The 23,498-nt window shown below is 39.8% G+C and overlaps 1 protein-coding gene across 12 annotated transcripts in view, besides 1 other annotated feature; it reads left to right on the plus strand.

Annotated features, from left to right (window-relative positions):
* RANBP2 (RAN binding protein 2) overlaps positions 1-23,498 on the plus strand; it is a 1,122,820-nt gene that overhangs the window by 4,480 nt on the left and 1,094,842 nt on the right. For 9 of the 12 annotated variants that reach the window (XM_047445367.1, XM_005264002.4, NM_001415871.1 and 6 more), the window contains exons 2-8: positions 5,171-5,238; positions 6,813-6,924; positions 7,361-7,513; positions 11,571-11,801; positions 12,143-12,288; positions 16,528-16,720; positions 22,750-22,837. In XM_047445367.1, coding sequence (XP_047301323.1) covers positions 5,171-5,238; positions 6,813-6,924; positions 7,361-7,513; positions 11,571-11,801; positions 12,143-12,288; positions 16,528-16,720; positions 22,750-22,837 — 991 coding nt within the window. The remainder of the gene's footprint in view (positions 1-5,170; positions 5,239-6,812; positions 6,925-7,360; positions 7,514-11,570; positions 11,802-12,142; positions 12,289-16,527; positions 16,721-22,749; positions 22,838-23,498) is intronic. The other 3 variants (XM_011511575.3, NM_001415872.1, XM_011511578.3) reach the window with 1 other exon arrangement.
* Positions 2,627-3,167: an enhancer, noted in NCBI's record as "NANOG hESC enhancer chr2:109343044-109343584 (GRCh37/hg19 assembly coordinates)". NCBI's record gives its function as "activates a minimal SCP1, AML or CMV promoter by ChIP-STARR-seq in primed H9 embryonic stem cells {active_cell/tissue: H9 hESC(primed)}" and the evidence as "EXISTENCE:reporter gene assay evidence [ECO:0000049][PMID:30033119]".

Raw genomic sequence — 23,498 nt, forward strand, 5'->3', positions numbered from 1 at the left:
CAGGATTGGTTTTTCTTCCTCTTTGCTACACAGCTGTGCTCTTGGGACTTCCCTTTATCATCAGTTTGAGAATTCCTTTCATCTTTTTTCTGAGTTAGACCCTTTGTTTCTTGTATCTCATGTCCTCTTCATTTACTTTCTTTGTTTTGGTGTAGCATAGTCTCACTTGCTTTGAGGAAAAGTAGATGAGAGGTTTTTTTGTTTGTTTGTTTTTGTTTTGGGACAGAGTCTTGCTCTGTTGCCCAGGCTGGAGTGCAGTGGCATGGTCTCAGCTCACTGCAACTTCCGCCTCCCGGGTTCAAGCGATTCTCCTGCCTCAGCCTCCTGAGTAGTGGGATTACAGGTGTGTGCCACCATGCCCGGCTAATTTTTTCTATTTTTAGTAGAGATGGGATTTCACCATGTTGGTCAGGCTGGTCTTGAAACTAATGGTATGTCTTTAAAATGTCTTTACTTAATTTAGTTGATCATTTGGTTATCGAATTCTGAGTTTGAAATAATTTTTTTTTCGCAATTTTGAAAGCATTGCTCCATTTTCTAGAAGTTCTGTTGTTAGGAGTCCGATGAGATTCTTGTTCTTGGTAACTTAAAGGTTTTCTGGAAGTGTCCTTTCAATTGGGAAACTCATTTCTTTCAGTTCTGTAGCATTTCTTGTATTATTTCTTTGACCATTTCTTACCCTTTTTTTAATGACGTTTACCTGAAAGCTGGAGTTTCTCTAATTTTTCTCTTATTCTCCTCTTTTGTTTGTTCTGCCTTTTGAGAGATTTCCTTACCCTTATGTTCCAGGGGAAGAAGATTGGGGAACTCATGGTTCAGTATCTAGACTTTTCCTCATTGTCCTGTATAATCGCGGCCTTCACCCTTGTTGGGACTCCACAGATTTGGAGCTGATCAGATGGGTTTGTTGAGAACAGCTGATCAGATGGGTTTTTGGAGGATTTTAGGGGGAGGGAGATTCATTTGACTGTGCAAGATGGGCGACAGAGTGAGACTCCATCTGAATTAAAAAAAAAATTTAGAACTGCATAGTGAAAAAGTAGGCCACAAATATTAAGTTTTGGACAATTACAATTACATCTCTATCTTACTGTGCAAGATAGAGATGATGTGGCATCTCTTAGGGTCTTACTGTTCCTGTTTTCAGCCCTGCATCAGTTCTTGATATTTGGCAGCTTAAGTGAATTCAGGTATTTGCTTATAGTGACATCTGCTGTCATGTAAAGAAGTACTGCTTGCATCAGATATTGTCCTGTTTACATAACATGGGCTGTGCTCCTTCCTAGCTGTGTATCTTTAAACAAGGCATTTACCTGCTTGAGCTTCAGTTCCCTTGTAAAGTGAGCAGGTTAGAGGCAAAAGATCATATAGAAGAATAATTTGTAAAGTTGTTTAATTATCTTAAGATTGTCTACTTTAATAACATAGTTGGAAGCAAAGAAGGTAATGGAATTATTTTTCTATTATGTTTTGGCATTGTACCTTGAATCTATTTCTTCATTTTGAAAAGGGGGAACTGGCTGGGCTCAATGGCTGACGCCTGTAATCCCAGCACTTTGGGAGGTGGAGGAAGTCAGATCACAAGGTCAAGAGATCGAGACCATCTTGGCCAACATGGTGAAACCCCATCTCTACTAAAAATACAAAAATTAGCTGGGCATGGTGGCGTGCGCCTGTAGTCCCAGCTTGTACCCGGGAGGCAGAGGTTGCAGTGAGCTGAGATCGAGCCACTGCACTGCAGCCTGGCGACAGAGCAAGACTCCATCTCAAAAAAAAAAAGGAAGGGGGGAACAAGCCTTGTTCCTTTACGTGCTGTCCTGACTGCTGTGTATTATTTTTGTTAAGATTGCTGTAGTTCTTTTTTTTTTTGAGACGGAGGCTTGCTCTGTCGCCAGTGCTGGGATTGCAGGTGTTAGCCTGGCATTGAGCAACGTTTTGTAATTTAAGCATACAAGTCTCTCACCTCCTTGTTTACATTTATTCCCAGGCATTTTTTTCTTTTAGATGCGATTGTAAATGGAATTGCTTTCTTAATTTCCTTTTCTGATTGTTCGTTGCTGGTACAGTAGTCCCTTCTTATCCACAGTATTGCCTTACGTGGTTTTACTTAGCTGTGTCACCCGTGGTCCAAAAATATTGAATGGAAGATTATATAAATAAACATTTCATGAGTTTTAAATTGCAAACGGTTCTGAATAACATGGTAAAAATCTCACGGCCTCCTGCTCCGTCCTACCTAGGACACAAGTCATCCCTTTGTCCGACATATTCATGCTGTATGTGCTCGCCACCCGCTAGTTACATACTAGTCATCTCAGTTATCAGATCAGTTGTTGGAGTATTGCAGTGCTTGTGTTCAAGTAACCTTTATTTTATTTAAAATGGCACCAAAGAGCAAGAGTAGCGATGCTGGCAGTTCACATATGCAGAGAGAAGCCATATAGTGCTTCCTTTAAGTGAAGAGGTGAGTTTTTTTGTTTTTTTTTTTTTTTGGCTTAAACAACAGAAATTTATTTTCTCATGGTTCTGGAGGCTAGAAGCGGCAGATCAGGGTGCTGCTGCTTTGGTTCCTGATGAGGGCTTTCTTCCTGGCTTATAGGTTGGCTGGCATCTTGTCCTCACATGGCAGAGGGAGAGTACTGTAGTCTCACCTTGCTTTTTATTATTATTATTTTTTTAATTTATTTTTTTATTGATAATTCTTGGGTGTTTCTCACAGAGGGGGATTTGGCAGGGTCATGGGACAATAGTGGAGGGAAGGTCAGCAGATAAACAAGTGAACAAAGGTCTCTGGTTTTCCTAGGCAGAGGACCCTGCAGCCTTCCGCAGTGTTTGTGTCCCTGATTACTTGAGATTAGGGAGTGGTGATGACTCTTAACGAGCATGCTGCCTTCAAGCATCTGTTTAACAAAGCACATCTTGCACCGCCCTTAATCCATTTAACCCTGGGTGGACACAGCACATGTTTCAGAGAGCACAGGGTTGGGGGTAAGGTCACAGATCAACAAGATCCCAAGGCAGAAGAATTTTTCTTAGTGCAGAACAAAATGAAAAGTCTCCCATGTCTACTTCTTTCTACACAGACACGGCAACCATCCGATTTCTCAATCTTTTCCCCACCTTTCCCGCCTTTCTATTCCACAAAACCGCCATTGTCATCATGGCCCGTTCTCAATGAGCTGTTGAGTACACCTCCCAGACGGGGTGGTGGCCGGGCAGAGGGGCTCCTCACTTCCCAGTAGGGGCGGCCGGGCAGAGGCGCCCCTCAGAAGAGGTGAGTTTTTGACTTAGGAAAGAAAAAAGATCATATACTGGAGTTGCTAAGATCTATGGTAAGAACAAATCTTTTGTCCATGAAATTGTGAAGAAGGAAAAAGAAATTTGTGCTAGTTTTGTTGTGACACCCCAAACTGCAAAAGTTACAGCCATAGTGTGTGATAAGTGCTTAGTTGAGATGGACAAGACATTAAATTTGTGGGTGGAGGACACAAACAGGAAACATGTTTCGATTGACGGCAACCTGGTTTGATACTATTCATCGTTTTGGACATTCACTGGGGTCTTGGAATTTCAAAAATAAGATGTTTGAGTAGCTGTATACTCTTTATCACATGGATGGAACATACTCTGGTTGTATCAGCATTTTTTTTTTTTTTTTTTTTGAGATGGAATCATTCTGTTGCCCACGCTGGAGTGCAGTGGTGCGATCTTGGCCCACTGCAGCCTCTGCCTCCCGGATTCAAGCGATTCTTTGCCTCAGCCTCCCAAGCAGTGGGGATTACAGGGGTGTGCCACCATGCCCAGCTAATTTTTGTATTTTTAGTAGAAAGGAGGTTTCTGCATGTTGGCCAGGCTGGTCTCGAACTCTTGGCTTCAGGTGATCCGCCCGCCTCGGTCTCCGAAAGTGCTGGGATTACAGGTGTGAGCCACCGCACCCAGCCTGGTGTGCATCAGCATTTTGGACTTTGGAGTTTATGTAACCAAGGAGCCAGGCTGTGGACCTCGTTTATTACTTGAAGAATTCAATATTTATTTCTGCCTTTTTGACTCCTTGACTGTAAAATACTGATCTGATCTGTAGAGAGAACAGTACATGGACCAGGGAATCCTCAGTGCCTTAATAGATCCTAAGTACTTACTTATTCTTTCCCATAGAGGCTTACACATGGTAGGAAAAGAGATTTCTGGAATACCTTTCCTCCCCAAAGAAAGCTGGTTTCTTTTGTTTGTTAAGTGAGAGAGTGGTACCACAGGGTTTCCAAGATTTCCAAGGCTGATGAAAATTCTTCTGTTGTCTGCTTGTCTTACTTTCTTGAATTTATTTTTTGTATGTTATGTATTTATTATTTAGAGAGAGGATCTCCCTGTGTCACCCACGCTGGAGTGCAGTGTCACAGTCATAACTCACGGCAGTGTCAACCTCCTGGGCTCAAGTGATTCTCCTTCCTTGGCCTCCTGAGTAGCTAGGAACACAGGCATGCTCCACTATGCCTGGCTATTTTTTTCTCCCTGGAGACAGGATCTTGTTGTGTTGCACAGGCTGGTTTCAAACTCTTGGCCTCAAAGCTAGCCTCCCACCTTGGTCTCTGAAAGTGCTAGAATTAAAGGTGTGACCAACTGCACCCAGCTTATTTATGATGATGATGATGATGATGATGATGATGATGATGATGATGATGTTTGGGAGATGGAGTCTCGCTCTGTCGCCCAGGCTGGAGTGCAATGGCACGATCTCAGCTCACTGCAACCTCTGGCTCACTGCAACCTCCACCTCCTGGGTTCAACTGATTCTCGTGCCTTAGCCTCCCGAGTAGCTGGGGTTACAGGCACCCACCATCATGCCTGGCTAATTTTTGTATTTTTGTCAAGACGGGGTTTCACCATGTTAGCCAGGCTGGTCTCAAACTCCTGACCTCAGGTGATCCGCCCACTTCGGCCTCCCAAAGTGCTGGGATTACAGGCATGAGCCGCTGCACCCAGCTCTATTTTTTGTTTTGTGATAGGAAATTATAAAACATGGAATTATGCATTTGTCAGCCTTTAAAAAAACTTTTAAGTGAATGAAAGTGGCGTATTTGAACATCAACTTAGGACAGATTTTTACTACTTTTGAAAAAATGTTGGAAAATATTTCTGTATGAAAAGTAAAACAACTTTTAATTTTTTTTAGAAGTCAATGAAAGGATTCTATTTTGCAAAGCTGTATTATGAAGCTAAAGAATATGATCTTGCTAAAAAGTAAGTACAAACTGTAACATGTATTTTTTTTTTAAAATCAATGCCTTTTCTCATTTTCTTCTTTGAAATAGGTAAAAATATGTTCTTAGTAGTTCTTCCTAAGTGTATTCTGGAATAAGGGATTTATCACTCAGACTGATGCTAAGGACCAGCCTAGATTCCATTGAGATTGAAACCGTAATTAGTGTTTTCTGCATGCTGCTGCTTTATACCAAGGGCAAGAAATTGTTTGGCTTCAAATACTTTTTCTAAAAATTGTCTTCTGTTGGAGTAAAAGAGGACCATGCCTATATCTTAATTTGTTTTTGGTTAGATATCTGATACCTTAATCAGATGGAAAATAGCAATGAATAAAAAATTAAACCGTAATTGTAAGGCAGGAGAATAGCTTGTATAAAAGATGTTTAATTGACACAATATGTGATGCTCTAAGGCTCTATCCTAGGGATAAGAAGCTTGGTGATTCTGATTTCCTGACTTGGAGTGGATTAAAGCAGGAAATTAAGAGGGAGTCAGGCTTTTTTTTTTTTTTTTTAGGCAGTATCTGTCTCTCTTGCTCAGGCTGGAGTGCAGCAGCTGGCTCCATCTTTGCTCACTGTAACCTCTGCCTTCTGGGCTCAAGAGATCTTCCCACCTCAGCGCCCCAAGTAGCTGGGGATACAGATGCGCACCACCACACCTGGCTAAGGTTTGCATTTTTTGGTAGAGACAGGTGTCACTATGTTGCCCAGGCTAGTCTTGAACTTCTGAGCACAGCAGTCTGCCTGCCTCGGCCTCCCGTAGTGTTGGGACTACAGGTGTGTGTTACTGCTCCCAGCTGGGAGGCAGGCTTTTAAAGGCATCCAAAGGAAGATGGAAATGCTGGTAAGAAAGGAAAATGGTGGTACATAAATTATGTAACTAGCAGCACTGTGACTGTTAACTCTTGTACCTTTTTACTGTGAGACTTTAATCCCTTAGTTTAGGTCTGGCCTAATTTCTCTGATCGTAATACTGTCAAGGAACCTAGAGGATATTTACTTATTTTAGTTGTTACTTGATTTGAGAAATGGAAATTTCCTGTATTTGGTACTGTAATGAGTAATTTTTCTTCTGTTCGATTTTAGCTGGATATAGTACTGTTAGAAATTACTTTCTTGCTTAAAGGGTAAATGTATTTCCCTTTGTTGTTTGGGAAATTGTTGCTGTTTAGTATTTTGCATTATGATAACTTTAAAAATGTTTACTATAATCACTTCTAATTTATTCGCAAAACTGTTAGTGCTTTATTAAAATGTGATCAGGAAGAAAAAGCAATTTATATGTTCATTTCTTATGTGTGGATAACACTGGAGAAAAATTTGGTAAATGTGACATTTAATGGTAAAATGAGTATGTGGTCAACTCTATGTACGTGTTTTTAAGTATTATCTATTTCTATGAGTACTTCTGAGTTATCTGTATGAATAGCGGTAGTTTTGAGTAACAATATAAACGAGTTTAGTGGTTGCTTTGGTTTAAGATGTATTCTTCGGTTAGCATTTAAAAGTACAGTTCTAAGTTTAATTTACTTTTGTATTACTTTTAAAAAACAGATACATATGTACTTACATTAATGTGCAAGAGAGGGATCCCAAAGCTCACAGATTTCTGGGTCTTCTTTATGAATTGGAAGAAAACACAGACAAAGCCGTTGAATGTTACAGGGTAAGTTACAGGATTCAAATATAGCCTTTGCATAGCCAAACACATGATGCCCAGAGAAATTTATATAAGTAAGTCAAATATATTTTATGAATATCATAAAACAGGCATTGGTATCATAGTACAGTTACGTGACACAGCTTGGAACAGATTTAGAATTGTTTAACACCTATAAATTGTAAGTCTAACACGGTCAGAAATGGTGTTCTTTTGTGTTTTTTGTATTCAAATGACACAAATATAATTTTTATTTGATTCATTTCCAGAGAATTCCAAGACACTTTTATTTTAACACCTTTGAAGTAACATGTTTTCTCTAGAAGTAGAATTTTTTAAGGGTTGGAGTGATAATTTTTTAACCTTTATATATAAGTATATATACTCCTACATACATACATACAATTTATTTACTAATCTTTAATTTCTTTTCTGATATTAGCGTTCAGTGGAATTAAACCCAACACAAAAAGATCTTGTGTTGAAGATTGCAGAATTGCTTTGTAAAAATGATGTTACTGATGGAAGAGCAAAATACTGGCTTGAAAGAGCAGCCAAACTTTTCCCAGGAAGTCCTGCAATTTATAAACTAAAGGTAAACAAACAAAACATAAAGGGAGAAAACTTAAGACATAACCATTTCTAATATTTGGAATTTAAATTACTTTTCAATAGCAAACCTTAAGCCCAGGTGTTAGTGTTTCCTTTAAAAATTTTCTTTTAAAAAGTGTGTTAAAACCTTTCTGAGCATCTACTGTCTTATTAGGCATTGTTATACTTTATAAGTGACATCTCATTTACCTTTCTGGAATAATTAATATTTTAGGGATTTTACAGTTTAGTAGCTGTAAACTAAGTAGAGCTAAGATTTACATTAAGTTCCGTCTGGTATACAATTTTTGCTTCATTAAGTGAAAATTACCTACAGGATGACAATTTAGGGATATTTTAAAGAAGTGTTTTCTAATAACTATTGTCTGAAAGTAGAAGGGATTGCATTTTGAGATAGTAAGGTTTTCAAGCAAAAGACAAAAGGTGGTTTCTCTAGTATATAAGACGTAATTACTAAAAATGGTAGGAAGTTCTTGCTAGTGTGTTGACTGGTCCTGATATTCTTTATAGAGTAAAATATAGTTTACTAAGTAACTGTTCTGGAGAAAATCTACACAAATATGTTTGGCAAACATTTAAAATGTATATTGTAATGTTTTATATATTAATGTATACTTTATCGTGTGTGTACAATATTAAATTATAAATGTATATTTGCCTTTAGCCTCCTTCTATCCCCATTATATATGTTTCTGATAGGAATTTAAAAAATTTTAATTTTGAAATAATTATAGATTTTTTTGCACAGGAAGTTGCAAAGATTGTACAGAAAGATTCTGTATGCTACTTCATTTTTCCCCAATGCTTATACAGGTTGAGCATTTAAAATCCGAAATCCTAAATGCTCCAGAATCTGAAATTTTTTGAGCACTGACATGATGCTCAAAGGAAATGCTCATTGGAGAATTTTGGATTTCAGATTTTCAGATTTGGGATGCTCTACCTGCTAAGTATCCTGCAAATATTCCAAAGTCTGAAAAAATTCAAAATCTGAAATACTTCTGGTCTCAAGCATTTTGCATAAGGGATACTCAACCTGTTTAACCCGACCAAAGCACACTATCAAAATCAGGAATTTTGACATTGGTACAATGTGTATGTATAGTTTTCTTTCATTTTATCACGTGTAGATTCATACCACCACTGCAGTCAAGATACAGAACTACTCTATTACCACAGAGATCTTCCTCATGCTGCCCCTTTTGTAGTGATGCTATTTACTTCTCTTCACTATGCCTGACCTCTGGCAACCATTAATCTGTTCTCCATCTTTATACTTTGGTGATTTCAAAATGTTATGTAAATGTCATCATGAAGTATGTGACGTTTTTTTCTTTTTTCATTTTTTTTGAGACGGAGTCTCGCTCTATTGCCCAGGTTAGAGTTCACTGGCGCAATCTTGGCTCACTGCCACCTCCGCCTCCCAGGTTCAAGCGATTCTCCTGCCTCAGCCTTCCGGGTAGCTGGGACTACAGGCACGTGTTACCATGTCCCGCTTATTTTTGTATTTTTAGTAGAAACGGGGTTTCACCATGTTGGCCTGGCTGGTCTCGAACTCCTGACCTCATGTGATCTGCCTGCCCCAGCCTCCCAAAGTGCTAGGATTACAGGCGTGAGCCACTGCACCCAGCCAAGCACATGACGTTTTGAGGTTGGCTTCTTCAGTCACCATAATACCATTTGTGATCCATATTAAGTTTTGTATATCCATAGTTGGTTCCTTTACTTCTGAGTAGTATTTCATGGTCCACAATTTAACCATTCCCTTTTTTTTTTTTTTTTTTTTTTTTTTGAGACAGAGTCTTGCTTAGTCACCCATGCTGGAGTGCAGTGGTGCTACCTCGGCTCACTGCAACTTCTGCCTCCCGGGTTCTCAGGTGATCCACCCACTTCGGCCTCCCAAAGTGCTGGGATTACAGGTGTGAGCCACTGTGCCCAGCCTTAACCATTCACTTTTGAGGGACATTTTGGTTATTTCTAGGTTTTGGCTATTGTTCAGCTGCTATGAACAATCAAGTACAGATTTTTGAAGCTGAAAAAGCATTGAAGATGCTTCCAAAGATAAATATTACTGATAAGTTTTTCTCCCCAGTAATAAGCAGCTGGATTTTAAATATTAATCTAAAACGTGAGGTCTAATTGTGCAGATTTCTTTACTCTCTTAGGTGTTATGCCTCAAACATAACTCCCATATTGGGCGTGGCAATCCAGTTAATCTGGTGTCAGTAGTGTTAAAGAACATATGTAATGATAGGAGATTCTTTTCTTGCAGTGTAACAAGTTAGATACTTTGAAGCATTCTTTAAAGATTTTCTTTAATAACTTGAAGGCACTGTTACACCTTTCCTGTATCAGATTTTTTTTTTTTGGAATTGAAATCCATGAGATTTATAACTGTCATGCAAAGTAATTCCATTTCTCCTAAAATTTAAGGCTTGCTAAGGTAAACAGTTTCTGACATTTGTTTAATGAATGAGAGTATTACTGTTGAGAAGGCTTTTTCTCTCAAGTATGAGATAGAACTTTTTAAAAAGCACTCATAGTGGTTTTTAAAAATATTTTTAACATAGAGTCAAAGACTAGGGCTTTTGCAATAGGGAGAGGCCAGGGTTTCATCCATCTCATCCAGAAGAGGAGAAATTGATAAAGGAGAGAGGGGAATGAAATACAGAGTAGTAATGGGCGGCTTGGTCTTGAGAGTTGGGGAAAGACGAGTTTAAGTAGGTAAGGTAAAATGGAATTTATATGTGATAGCATCAGGTTTCTCAGTGAAGGATGAATCTAGGTTATAAGTTGAAAGTGAGGGTCAAAGGAAGGTATGGGGAAGTTGAGGAAATAGGAGGTGTGAAGTGTCAGAGTGGAGAAAGTGAGTATTAGTACTAAAATGGTATTTTGTTTTAGGCAGCACCAGTTTGATGGTTGAGATAATGCAAATGAAATCAGTTAGCTTGGGGTTATGATTTCCCAAATCTAAGCACACAGAAACCAGTTTGGGGGTTCTTCTGAGGAAAAGAGGGAATTAGTTGAAGGGATCTGTAAGCAAACAGTAATTATGGATATAAGGGATTATAGCATTTTTTGCCTGACAGAAGAAAGTGTGTATATTTATATGTGTTTACAGGTGTTTAAAACTTGATGATGTTATTGTCTTGAAGGGAACTTGTCATGTGGTGGAGAAGTATATTTCTGAAAGTAAGGGTATGTAGGCCCTCAGTGAGGTAGAAGAATAACAAGGGTGGTATGGTGGTTTCGGTGGTATGACCAAAATACAGATTTTGAAGACCTGTGTCAGTGGCAAGTGGATGGTTGAGGTTCGAGTGGAGGATAACATCACTGGAGATGAGGTGATTAAGGAACTGAGTAGTCAGCCTGGGCAACACAGCAAGACCCCATCTCTACAGAACGTTAAAAAAAAATTAGCCGGGCACGGTGGTGCATGCCTGTGGTCCTAGCTTCTTGAGAGGCTGATGGAAGAGCATCGCAAATGAGAAGTGAGTGGCCACAAACCCTACTTCCTCTCCTTGTATGTAAGTTCAGAGAGAAAAAGCCATCATGGTAGTGGGGGTTATCCTGAGATGATACTGTCTTCATTTAAGGTCAGGAGGTGATGACAGTGCTTTGAGATGGTGATGAAGGTAACAGAACAGTGGGAGGAGAGGGGATGCGGGATTGAGTCAGATTTAAGGAGATACAGAGCAGTTTGAACATAAGGACCTTGTTGCTGAGGATTGACTGGGGAGGTCTAGGCTTCTGGTGGTGACTCAGATGGACAGGAATGTGTGGCATTAGTCCTGGTAGTCTCTGAAGAGAGTATGAGCTACTGCAGTAATCACAGATGCTTTTCTTCACATACAGTTCTTGAGGCTTAGTTTCTGGGTTGTAAGCAACTCTCAGAAGGGATGAATAAGGTATATAGGATGGTGTTTTTGGTGGCATCATCATAAAACTAGACATAGTGGAATGGTGCTCTTTGGGAGCATGACTTGTTTAAAATTGCACAAGTGTTACTCTAATAATTTTTCTTTTTCCCCTCTAAATAGGAACAGCTTCTAGATTGTGAAGGTGAAGATGGATGGAATAAACTTTTTGACTTGATTCAGTCAGAACTTTATGTAAGACCTGATGACGTCCATGTGAACATCCGGCTAGTGGAGGTGTATCGCTCAACTAAAAGATTGAAGGATGCTGTGGCCCACTGCCATGAGGCAGAGAGGAACATAGCTTTGCGTTCAAGTTTAGAATGGAATTCGTGTGTTGTACAGACCCTTAAGGTAGATAAAAGCTATTGGGTCTTTACATTTCTATGTAGGCAATTAGCATACATCTTTTTGTACTAAAGCAGCAGTGCCCCGCAGGACTTAAAATTTCTTTTATTTATGTAGAACAGTTATAAAATGAAATTTTTACCAGGATCAGTTAAATTTATAATGGGAAGATTGGGGAGATAACTATGATAAATGTATATATTTTTGGTGTTTTATAAGGTCGATATAAAAATCAATATAGTTTCACAAATGTGGTTGGAGTGAGAAAAGGAATTTGTAGGCTTAAAATGATTAATTTCTTAACATTTGATTAAGTTTTGTAACTTACTGTTCATTCCACAAAATAGGAATATCTGGAGTCTTTACAGTGTTTGGAGTCTGATAAAAGTGACTGGCGAGCAACCAATACAGACTTACTGCTGGCCTATGCTAATCTTATGCTTCTTACGCTTTCCACTAGAGATGTGCAGGAAAGTAGAGAATTACTGCAAAGGTACGTTGACTTTGAGAAGAATGCTTTAGTATAAATTGCAGTTTTTCTTTTTGCAGTAAGTTCATTGCTCTAAACTTCTTCACTGAATCATTATTTGTATAATGTACCTAGGAGTTATAGTTAATACAGTGAACAACTAGGAGGCAATCTTATTTTTCTTCTTTTACGGGGAAGTTCTAATTGGTTTTATATGACTTTCCTTTTTAGAGAACTCTTATAGTTCAAGCTTGATTAAAATTAGCCTTATGGTTAAATACTCAGTTTTGTCATAGTCAAGCCTAAAATGAATGTTCTAACTGCTATTTCATATTTTATTTTTTAAAATAGTATAATCTTGAGTGAAAATTAAAGTTCATCTGTCATCAGATGGCTAGGTTCACATGTATTAGTATAAGCACTTAGCATCACTGGTATTTCAGAAAATACTGTTTTAGCTGAGAAACAAAATAACTCAACTATGTGATTTACCTTTTTTCCTAAATTTTGATTTTGAAAACCAGTGTCTCCATTTTGAAAATAAATTCCATTGAACAAAAACATCACTTGGATTTGTATAAAGATGTTAGTTTAGAGCAGGGGTTGATTAGAACTTGTGGGCCAAATATGGCCCCTGCCTAATTTTGTTAATATTTATTGGAATGCAGCATGCCTCTGTTTATGTATTGTCTGTGGCTGCTTACATACTACAAGGTTGGAGTTGAGTGGTTGCAGCAGAGATTGTATGCCTGTAAAGCCAGATTAGTATTCTCCTCCTTTTTGTAGAAAAAGTTTACTGATTGCTAGTTTAGGCTGTCCATGTGGAAGTTAATTTATTTCCCCATCTGGTATAAGGAAAGAAGTTCATTTCACTGAGTGCAGGGAGTAGGTAATTTTCTTGAAAAAGTACATAAAAGTACCTAAATTGGTAGGGTAAGAGCAGTATCTAAAAGAACTAACATAACTTTAAGATTATTTTAGAAAACATGTAGGATGTTTTATTTTGTATTCTTTGTATACTCAAATTTTTGGTCACAAGTTCCTTTTACATTTTTGTTAAGGACATCGAAGATCTTTGTATGTGGGTTCCTTTTTTTCTTTCTTTCTTTCTTTTTTTTTTTTTTGTTTTTTTGAGATGGAGTCTTGCTGTGTCACCAGGCTGGAGTGCAATGGAACGACCTTGGCTCACTGTAACCTCCGCCTCCCTGGTTCAGGCGATTCTCCTGCCTCAGCCTCCCGAGTAGCTGGGACTACAGGCGCACACCACCATACCCAGCTAATTTTTGTATTTTTAGTAGAGACGGGGTTCAGGATGGTCTCAAGCTCTTTTTTTTTTTTTTTTTTGAGACTGAGTCTTGCTCTCGCCAGGCTGGCATGCAGTGGTGCAGTCTCGGCTCACTGCAACCTCTGCCTCCTGGGTTCAAGTGATTCTCCTGTCTCTGCCTCCGGAATAGGTGGGACTACAGGTGCCCGCCACCACACCTGGCTAATTTTTTTTTTTTTTTTGAGACAGAGTCTCGCTCTGTCACCCAGGCTGGAGTACTGTGGGGCAATCTCGGCTCACTGCAAGCTCTGCCTGCCAGGTTCATGCCATTCTTCTGCCTCAGCCTCCTGAGTAGCTGGGACTACAGGCGCCCACCACCACGCTCCGCTAATTTTTTTGTATTTTTAGTAGAGACGGGGTTTCACCGTGTTAGCCAGGATGGTCTCGATCTCCTGACCTCGTGATCTGCCCTCCTCGGCCTCCCAAAGTGTTGGGATTACAGGCGTGAGCCACCGCGCCCAGCCCACACCTGGCTAATTTTTGTATTTTTAGTAGAAACAGGGTTTCATCATGTTGGCCAGGTTGGTCTCAATCTTTTTTTTTTGAGACGGAGTCTCGCTCTGTCGCCCAGGCTGGAGTGCGGTGGCGCCATCTCGGCTCACTGCAAGCTCTGTTTCCAGGGTTCACGCCATTCTCCTGCCTCAGCCTCCCAAGTAGCTGGGCCTACAGGTGCCCGCCACCACACCCAGCTAATTTTTTGTATTTTTAGTAGAGATGGGGTTTCACCGCGTTAGCCAGGATGGTCTTGATCTCCTGACCTTGTGATCCGCCCGCCTCGGCCTCCCAAAGTGCTGGGATTACAGGTGTGAGCCACCGCGCCCAGCTGGTCCTGATCTCTTGACCTCTTGATCCGTCTACCTTGGCCTCCCAAAGTACTGGAAGGTCTCAATCTCTTGACCTTCCAGTACCTTGTGATCCGCTTGCCTTGGCCTTCCAAAGTGCTGGGATTGCAGGTCTGAGCCACTGCACCCGGCTGTATGTGGGTTATTTCTATCAGTGTTTATTACATTAGAAATTAAAACAAAAAATGTAATCCATTAAAAATGTAAGAAGCTCTATTGTGTGTTAATAATAATAGCTTTTTTTTTTTTTTTTTGAGACGGAGTTTTGCTCTTGTTGCCCAGGCTAGAGTGCAACAGTGTGATCTTGGATCACTGCAACCTCTGCTTCCCAGGTTCAAGCAATTCTCCTGCCTCAGCCTCCCAAGTACCTGGAATTACAGGTGCCTACCACCACGCCTGGCTAATTTTTTGTATTTTTAGTAGAGAAGGGGTTTCACCATGTTGGCAAGGCTGGTCTTGAACTCCTGACCTCAGGTGATCCACCCGCCTTGGCCTCCCAAAGAGCTGGAATTACTTGTGTGAGCCACCGCACAGGGCCAATAATAGCATTTTTTATGAAAAATAATTATTTTTCAACAGCAAAAAAGTAGTCAGAAAGTGTCATTGCTTTTGCATTTTTGTGAATCTTTTTAATGTCTCGCTTAATAGAACATAGCTAGATTCTCATTTACTTCCTCTTTCAGTCTGTAAAACTATTACATGTCATGAAGCCTCTAGAAAACTCAGCTCAGCGGGGCGCGGTGGCTCAGCCCTGTAATCCCAGCACTTTGGGAGGCCGAGGCGGGTGGATCACGAAGTCAGGAGATCGAGACCATCCCAGCTAACAATGGTGAAACCTTGTCTCTACTAAAAATACAAAAAATTAGCCGGGTATGTTGGCACGCACTTACAGTCCCAGCTGCTCGGGAGGCTGAGGCAGAAGAATCGCTTGAACCTGGGAGTCAGAGGTTGCAGTAAGCCAAGATTGTGCCACTGCACTCCAGCCTTGTGACAGAGTGAGATTCTGTCTCCAAAAACAAAAACAAAAAAACTCAGCTCTACATACATGAGAAAATGAGTATGTAAAATATAAATTTTTTTTTGGTATTATCGTAAAAGTAATTTTAACTTCATGGATCCCCTGAAGGGGTTTTTGAGCACCCTCAGAGATCTTTAGACCTCACTTGCTCTGGTTGCTTTATTGTAAGCCACTTTAAAATCATGCTTCACGTTTAAGTGTTTGCTTTTTGCTTTTACTTTTCTTCCAAAGTGAGGATTTGGAGAAACAATAGGATTTAGAAGAACTAATTTAGAATATAGATTACAAATAATAGGCCAGGCGTAGTGGCTCATGCCTGTAATCCCAGCACATTGGTAAACTGAGGTGGGTGGATTGTGAGGTCAGGAGTTGAAGACCAGCCTGGCCAACGTAGTGAAACCCTGTCTCTACTAGAAATATAAAAAAAGTTTAGCGGGGCATGGTGGCAGGTGCCTGTAATCCCAGCTACTCAGAAGGCTGAGTCAGGAGAATCACTTGAACCTGGGAGGTGGAGGTTGCAGTGAGCTTAGATCGTGCCATTGCACTCCAGCCCAGGCGATAGTGAGAGACTCCGTCTCAAAAAAAAAAAAGGCAGACTATTTTAAACGCTGTAATGATCTATATAGTAAAAAGAGCAATTACTGTATTGATACGCAAATACCTGTCAGTTATTTACTTATAATTTGGAAATGGTATGTCTAATTTGAGAAATTACAACTGTTAATTAAATAATGAAATTATATGATCAGGAAGAAACTACAAAATAGTCTCCCAACTTTATCCTGGTTTATTTTGAAATGTGCACCTATAATCACTGATCTTATATTTATCCTGTGATTGGAGGGCTGGAAATAACTGGGAATATCATTTGAGAGGTTAAGCATGAAGTATAGGAAGTATGCAGGATAAAAAAAAGCATTAGATGATTCATAATTTATAACATGGGGAATAAGAATTATTAGTTGAATGTGGAAGATGAAGCTTGAAATAAAATTTTTATTTTGTTTTGAATTAAATAAACCATGATTATTCACAGTGCAGTAAGTGTGTATTATCTGTTTGATATTTTCATATTACAGTTTTGATAGTGCTCTTCAGTCTGTGAAATCTTTGGGTGGAAATGATGAACTGTCAGCTACTTTCTTAGAAATGAAAGGACATTTCTACATGCATGCTGGTTCTCTGCTTTTGAAGATGGGTCAGCATAGTAGTAATGTTCAATGGCGAGCTCTTTCTGAGCTGGCTGCATTGTGCTATCTCATAGCATTTCAGGTAAGTCTTCCACTTGTAGGAGCAATTGACATTTCACTGAGTCTTGATGTGTTTGAAATGAAGGTGTGCTCTGGTATGTAATGACAATATGTGAACAAACCTGTGGAATTAAAGTTGAAATAGTCAATTTGATACAGTGGAAAATAACTAAGCATACACAATACTGGTGAGGCTGGTGAAACAGGGATGTTGAATGCACTCTTGTTGAAAGCCTGCATTGCCATGATTTGTTTGTAGACAAATTTGAAGAGTTTGATCTTTTTACTCTGCCATTTTTGGGAACATGATAAAGATGTAATCTCGTATTATGGGTAAAGCTTGATTCAGAAAGATGTGTTACTTGGACAAAATCTTAATAAGTAGATGTAGGGCAATGGCTTTATAGCCTATGATAGAAGAATATGATTGCAATTTAACATGTTAATTGAAACACATGTATATAACATTTATGACTGTATTGTGTATATGTAACAGTATATCTATTAATCTTTGAAAACATAAAACCTTTTCTTAATTTTTATTTTTTTATTTTTTTTGAGACCAAGTCTCTCTGTCACCAGGCTGGAGTGCAGTGGCGTGATCTCGGCTCACTGCAGCCTCCACCTCCTGGGTTCAAGTGATTCTCCTGCCTCAGTCTCCCGAGTAGCTGGGACTACAGGCCCGTGCTACCACACCCAGCTAATTTTTTGTATTTTTAATAGAGATGGCGTTTCACCATGTTGGCCAGGATGGTCGCCATCTCTTGACCTCGTGATCTGCCTGCCTTGGTCTCCCAAAGTGCTGGGATTACAGGCGCAAGCCACTGCGCCTGGCCTTTTTTTTTTTTTTTTTTTTTTTTTTTTGAGATGGAATCTTGCTCTGTCGCCCAGTCTGGAGTGCAGTGGCACGATCTCGGCTCCCTGCAAGCTCCACCTCCCGAGTTCACGCCATTTTCCTGCCTCAGCCTCCCGAGTAGCTGGGACTACAGGCACCTGCCAGCATGCCCAGCTAATTTTTTTTTTGTACTTTTAGTATAAGAGACGGGGTTTCACTGTGTTAGCCAGGATGGTCTCAATCTCCTGACCTAGTCATCCACCTGCCTCGGCCTCCCAAAGTGCTGGGATTACAGGCGTGAGCCACCACACCCAGCCTTTTTTTTTTTTTTTTTTTTTAATGAGCTTGCATAACTTTTGAAAGGAAAAGAAATAAGTAGTCTTCCAAAAAAGCATTAAACCACGCTTAGAAAAATGATTGTTAATTTTAGAGAAGGATTTTTTGCTTGGGGAGGGAAAAAAAGGATTCATTACTTTTAGAGAAGGCGCCTCCTTCTAATATAAATCTTTTTTTCTTTTTGAGACGGGGTTTTGCTCTTGTTGCCCAGGCTGGAGTGCAGTGGCGCGATCTGGCTCACTGCAACCTCTGCCTTCCCGGGTTCAAGCGATTGTCCTGCTTCAGCCTCCCGAGTAGCTGGGATTACAGGCATGCGCCACCACGCCCGTCTAATTTTGTATTTTTAGTAGAGACGGGGTTTCTCCATGTTGGTCAGGCTGATCTCGAACTCCTGACCTCAGGTGATCTTCGCGCCTCAGCCTCTCCAAGTGCTGGGATTACAGGCAGTGAGCCACCATGCCCTGCCTAATATAAATCTTTTTATTTTTATTTGAGACGGAGTCTCGCTCTGTCACCAGGCTGGAGTGCAGTGGCGCAATCTCAGCTCACTGCAACCTGTGCCTCCTGGGTTCAAGTGATTCTCCTGCTTCAGCCTGTCACGTATCTGGGATTACAGGCACACACCACCATGCCTGGCTAATTTTTTGTATTTTTTAATAGAGACGGGGTTTCACCATGTTAGCCAGGATGGTCTCGATCTTCTGACCTCGCGATCCACCCGACTTGGCCTCTCAAAGTGCTGGGATTACAGGCATAAGCCACCGAGCCCGGCCTGTAAATCTTTTAAAAACACCGTTGATAGACAGTTCACATGTTAAGTGCTAATATTTGCTCAGTAGAAACTTCTGTGTTCATAAGGAATTGGATTAGTGAAAATTAATGGATTTAGTGAGGTTCACTAGGTAATACCAACATTAAAAGGTTCTTATAGAAATTCTCAAGTAACTGATAGTTCTTATTTTTATTTATTTTTTTTGAGACGGAGTCTCACTCTGTTGCCCAGGCTGGAGCACAGTGGCACGACCTCGGCTCACTGCAAGCTCCACCTCCTGGGTTCACGCCATTCTCCTGCCTCAGCCTCCCGAGTAGCTGGGACTACAGGCACCCACCACCACGCCCAGCTAATTTTTTTGTATTTTCAGTAGAGATGGGGTTTCACCATGTTAGCCAGGATGGTCTCGATCTCCTGACCTCATGATCCGCCCACCTTGGCCTCCCAAAGTGCTGGCATTATAGGCGTGAGCCACCGCGCCCTGCCAATAGTTCTTATTTTTAATGGAAACTTTAAAATTTATCTGTCTGTGTGTCTATTAGAGTCTTGCTGTGTCACCCGGGCTGGAGTGCAGTTGCATAATCATAGCTCACTGTAACGTTGAACTGGGCTCAAGCTTCCCAGAGTGCTGGGATTGTAGGTGTGAGCTACTATGCACAGCCTAAAATTTTTTGATATGTAGTTTTGGGAGGCAGAGTCTCTTGTTGCTCTGGCTGGAGTGCAGTGGCATGATCATAGCTCACTGCATCCTCGAACTCCTGGGCTCAAGTGATCCTCTCCTGCTTCAGCCTCAGCTCAGTAGCTGGGACTACAGGTGCCTGCCACCATGCCTGGCTACATTGTTAAATTTTTTGTAAAGACAAGGTCTTGCTATGTTTCCCAGGCTGGTTAGTCTTGAACTCCTGGCTTCAAGTGATCCTTCTGCCTTGCCCTCCCAAAGTGCTGGGATTACAGGTATGAGCCACCACACCTGACTGTGAACTTTTAATAATAAAAAGTTAGTTTCCCTCTTAATCCATTCACTCAGGTCTCCTTTCCTAGATGACAACTACTGTTAGGAGTTTCTTGGGTGTTCAGAAATATTTTTTGCATATGCAAATGTGCAATACATTCTTTCTCTGCTTTTAAAAAATATTGTGCCTCAATGTGGGTGTGCTTTACCTATTGCCAGATGCCTTGCTTTTCTAAATGTTTCTTCATTGTTCCACTTCAGCACAGAGATACCTACTTCAGTCTTTATTAACTACCACATATTTCTGTAGAATGAATATATAATAGAAACATCTTAGATGCTTGTATTTTATTTTATCAGTTTATTTTAAAGCTTAATGATCAAATGATTATAAGCATAAAATGTAGGTTATGTGCTGGCATTTGGGTATTTAAGAATTGGCTAACTTTTATGGCAAGATTTTCAGACTCTTAATCAGAGGAATACTGTGGTTCTAGTAAGTGCATCTGCATTGCAGCTAGGTAGTTAACAAAGTATCTTGAAACCTTTTAGTTAAGATGAGGAAATAGCCAGGCACGGTGGCTCACGCCTATGATCTTAGCACTTTGGGAGGCTGAGGCGGGCGGATCACTTGAGGTCAGGAGTTTGAGACCATCCTGACCAACATGGTCAAACCCCATCTCTACTAAAAATACAAAAATTAGCCACGCATGGTGGCGGGTGCCTGTAATCCCAGCTACTTGAGAGGCCGAGACAGGAGAATTGCTTGAAACCAGGAGGCGGAGGTTGCAGTGAGCTGAAATCGTGCCACTGCAGCACTGCAGCCTGGCGACAGAGCGAGACTCCATCTCAAAAAAAAAAAAAGGAAATAGTGAATTGAGATGATTTGATTGAGTGGATTCACAACTAATTAACTGGTCACAGATTCAACTGTTGAATAATTTTGTAAAAGAGGCCGGGTTTATGAATTGAGGTCAGTTTCAAAACAAAAAGAATGATGTCAACATTTTGTTTCTTATTTTGTGTGCTCTTTTCAACATATAGATGACAAAGGGCTTTGACATGATGTTTAGAAAACTTGTGAGTAAAAGGATAGGCAATATGAATATTTCTAAAATTCAAAATCAGAAGCTTTTAGGTTCATAAATCATATATTTTGAAAAATGAACATGTTTGGAAAGAATTATATATACATGGTTTAAAATTCTGGCGGCTCTTAAGAATATGCTATGAAGACTCCTTTCTGTTCCCTAGTTATTTACTTTCTCCACCTCCAAAGAAACTAATGTTATTGCTTTCTTGTGTGTTCTTCAGGAAATGTTTTATGCATCTCCAAGTAAACACATATATATCTCCTGTCTTTAAAAGAAGGAGGAAAACATTTGAACATTGCATTTACTTTATTTCCATTAACTGTATCTTGGAGATGTTTCCATGTCAGTATATATAAAGGGCATTCTCATTAGTTTGGATGCTTGCATATTATTCCATTGTATGGATGTACTGTAGTTTTGGAGTTTTTAAAACCAGGGTCCTAAAACCAGGACATTAGCTGGCTTTTACTTTTTTTTTTTTTTAATGCTACTTCAAGTAATTTAGCAATGATTAACTTGTGCCATGAATTCCTGAAAGAATTGCAGTATCAAAGTATATCTGTGCATTTATAATTTTTAGAGCTGTTGCCAAATATCTAACCCTAAAGAGGTTGTATCAAATTACATTTCCACCACCAATTAAGAAAGTGGTGATAGAATTAAAAGCCGATGCTCTAGTCACCCATATAGTTACTTTTGGCATGTTTCTAGTAAGTGGGCATTGCCTATGACTGGACGTTTTCAGTGATGGACATTCATTACTTTTCAAGATAGCCCAGTGCATCTTTAGGTGGTTTGGCTCTTGGTACTTCCTTATATAGAATAAAAATATTCTTCAAGCCTTCTACCTGTTGGTCTTGTTTCTTCTTTTGATGATTTCTTTTATAAAATAATTTTAATATTTGAAGGCAGCTGTCACGTCTTCCCTTTGCCATTCTATTCATCATGCTTTTTTTTTTTCATAGGTTATTGCATGAGGATCTCTTTAATTTCCTGGTTGTCCCATTTATTCCAGTGCTATCCCATATTATCCATACTCTGAAAATGTGTTATCTACAATGTGGCATTTCCAAGTGTCATTTCACCTGTACTTTTTAAAGTAGGGTGTCATATCTACTCAAATAGGACAACATCTGCTGTTGTCCTATTTATGCAGGGTCGAAAAGTAATGTAATTAAATTTTCCATTTCTCTGAATGTAACATGAATGTGCTTTTAGTAGAAACTAATTTCTCAGAGTTGCTCTGTGTATGCTTTTTTTTTTTTTTCTTTTTTTGGAGATAGGGTCTCACTCTGTCGCCCAAGCTGGAGCACAGTGGCATGATCATGGCTCACTGCAGCCTTGACCTCCTGGATTTAAGTGATCCTCCTGCCTCAGCCTCCTGAGTAGCTGGGACCACAGGTGTGGGCCACCATGCCTGGCTAATTAAAAAAAACATTTTTTAGAGATAGGGTCTCACCGTGTTGTTCAGGCTGTTCTTGAACTCTGGGCTCAAGCGATCCCCCCACCTTGGCCTTCCAAAGTGCTGGGATTACAGGTGTGAGCCACCATGTCTGGCCCTTTTTTTTTTTTTTTTTTTTTTGCGATGGAGCCTCGCTCTTTCACCCAGGCTGGAGTGCAATGGCGCAGTCTCAGCCCACTACAACCTCTGCCTCCCAGGTTCAAACTATCCTTGTGCCTCAGCCTTCCATGTAGCTGGAATTAATAGGTGTGTGCCACCACGCCTGGCTCTTTGTTTTTTTTTTATTATTTTTAGTAGAGACTGGGTTTCACCATGTTGGCCAGGCTGGTCTCGAACTCCTGACCTCAAGTGATCAGCCCACCTTGGCCTCCCAGAGTGTTGGGATTACAGGTGTGAGCCACCACGCCTGTACCTGGCCTATCTTTCATAGGTTATATAAATTCCTTGGTTCCCAGTTTTTGCAGTCTTTTCCAATTCAGTTTAATTAATGGTTAACTGTTTATTCATTATCAAAAAAAGTACAGTGTAATAGATAAGACCATGTTACTATTAGAAGTATGGGTATCATCAAATTAAGATTTTTGATTCTAAAATTATTAGGTTCCAAGACCAAAGATTAAATTAATAAAAGGTGAAGCTGGACAAAATCTGCTGGAAATGATGGCCTGTGACCGACTGAGCCAATCAGGTAATAGTAATATTAAACTAATTTAATTTAAAAAGAAAAAGGAATTTCTGTTAAGGCATATCTTATGATAAAATCTTCATCTGTCCAGGAGATAATTTGTCAAAATTATTTCTTTTTGCCGTATCAGTTAAGAGCAATAGGTATGGAAGAGATGTGAAAAATAGCACATTCTTTAAAAAAATGAATATTTGATATTGTTTGTTCCTAGGTGGAGAGGATTTCTTAACTCTTTCTTTATCTGGCTGCTAGAGCCTCTATCCTGAATATTTAGTCACTTCCTGAACTAAGTATAATTATTGGTTTGCCAACCATTTAACACCAGCTGATTCTAAAAACACTGCTGTGGGGATATAAAGATGAAGAAGATACGGATCTGTCTTAAAGAGCTGAGAGCGTAGGGAGGAAGATAGAAGATATATACTTACCTTATATTAGGCTCTTGGAATTTGTGGATTTTTTCCCCCATTTTTGGCTTGGGATAAATCCTAAAGGTCTGTTGCGTATTACCTGTGATTTTGCTAAGATACAAACTTTAAGGTAGTTAGGTGGCCATTGAATCAAGCAGTGAACTGAAGAAACATAATGCTTTCTATAAGGAGCAGTTTTGATATAAAATTGGATGAATTTTGTAAAGAGCAAGATGTAATATTAAATCAAAGTT

The sequence above is a fragment of the Homo sapiens genome, chromosome 2 (genome assembly GCF_000001405.40).
Source record: "Homo sapiens chromosome 2, GRCh38.p14 Primary Assembly".
In the NCBI taxonomy this organism is placed as follows: domain Eukaryota; kingdom Metazoa; phylum Chordata; class Mammalia; order Primates; family Hominidae; genus Homo; species Homo sapiens.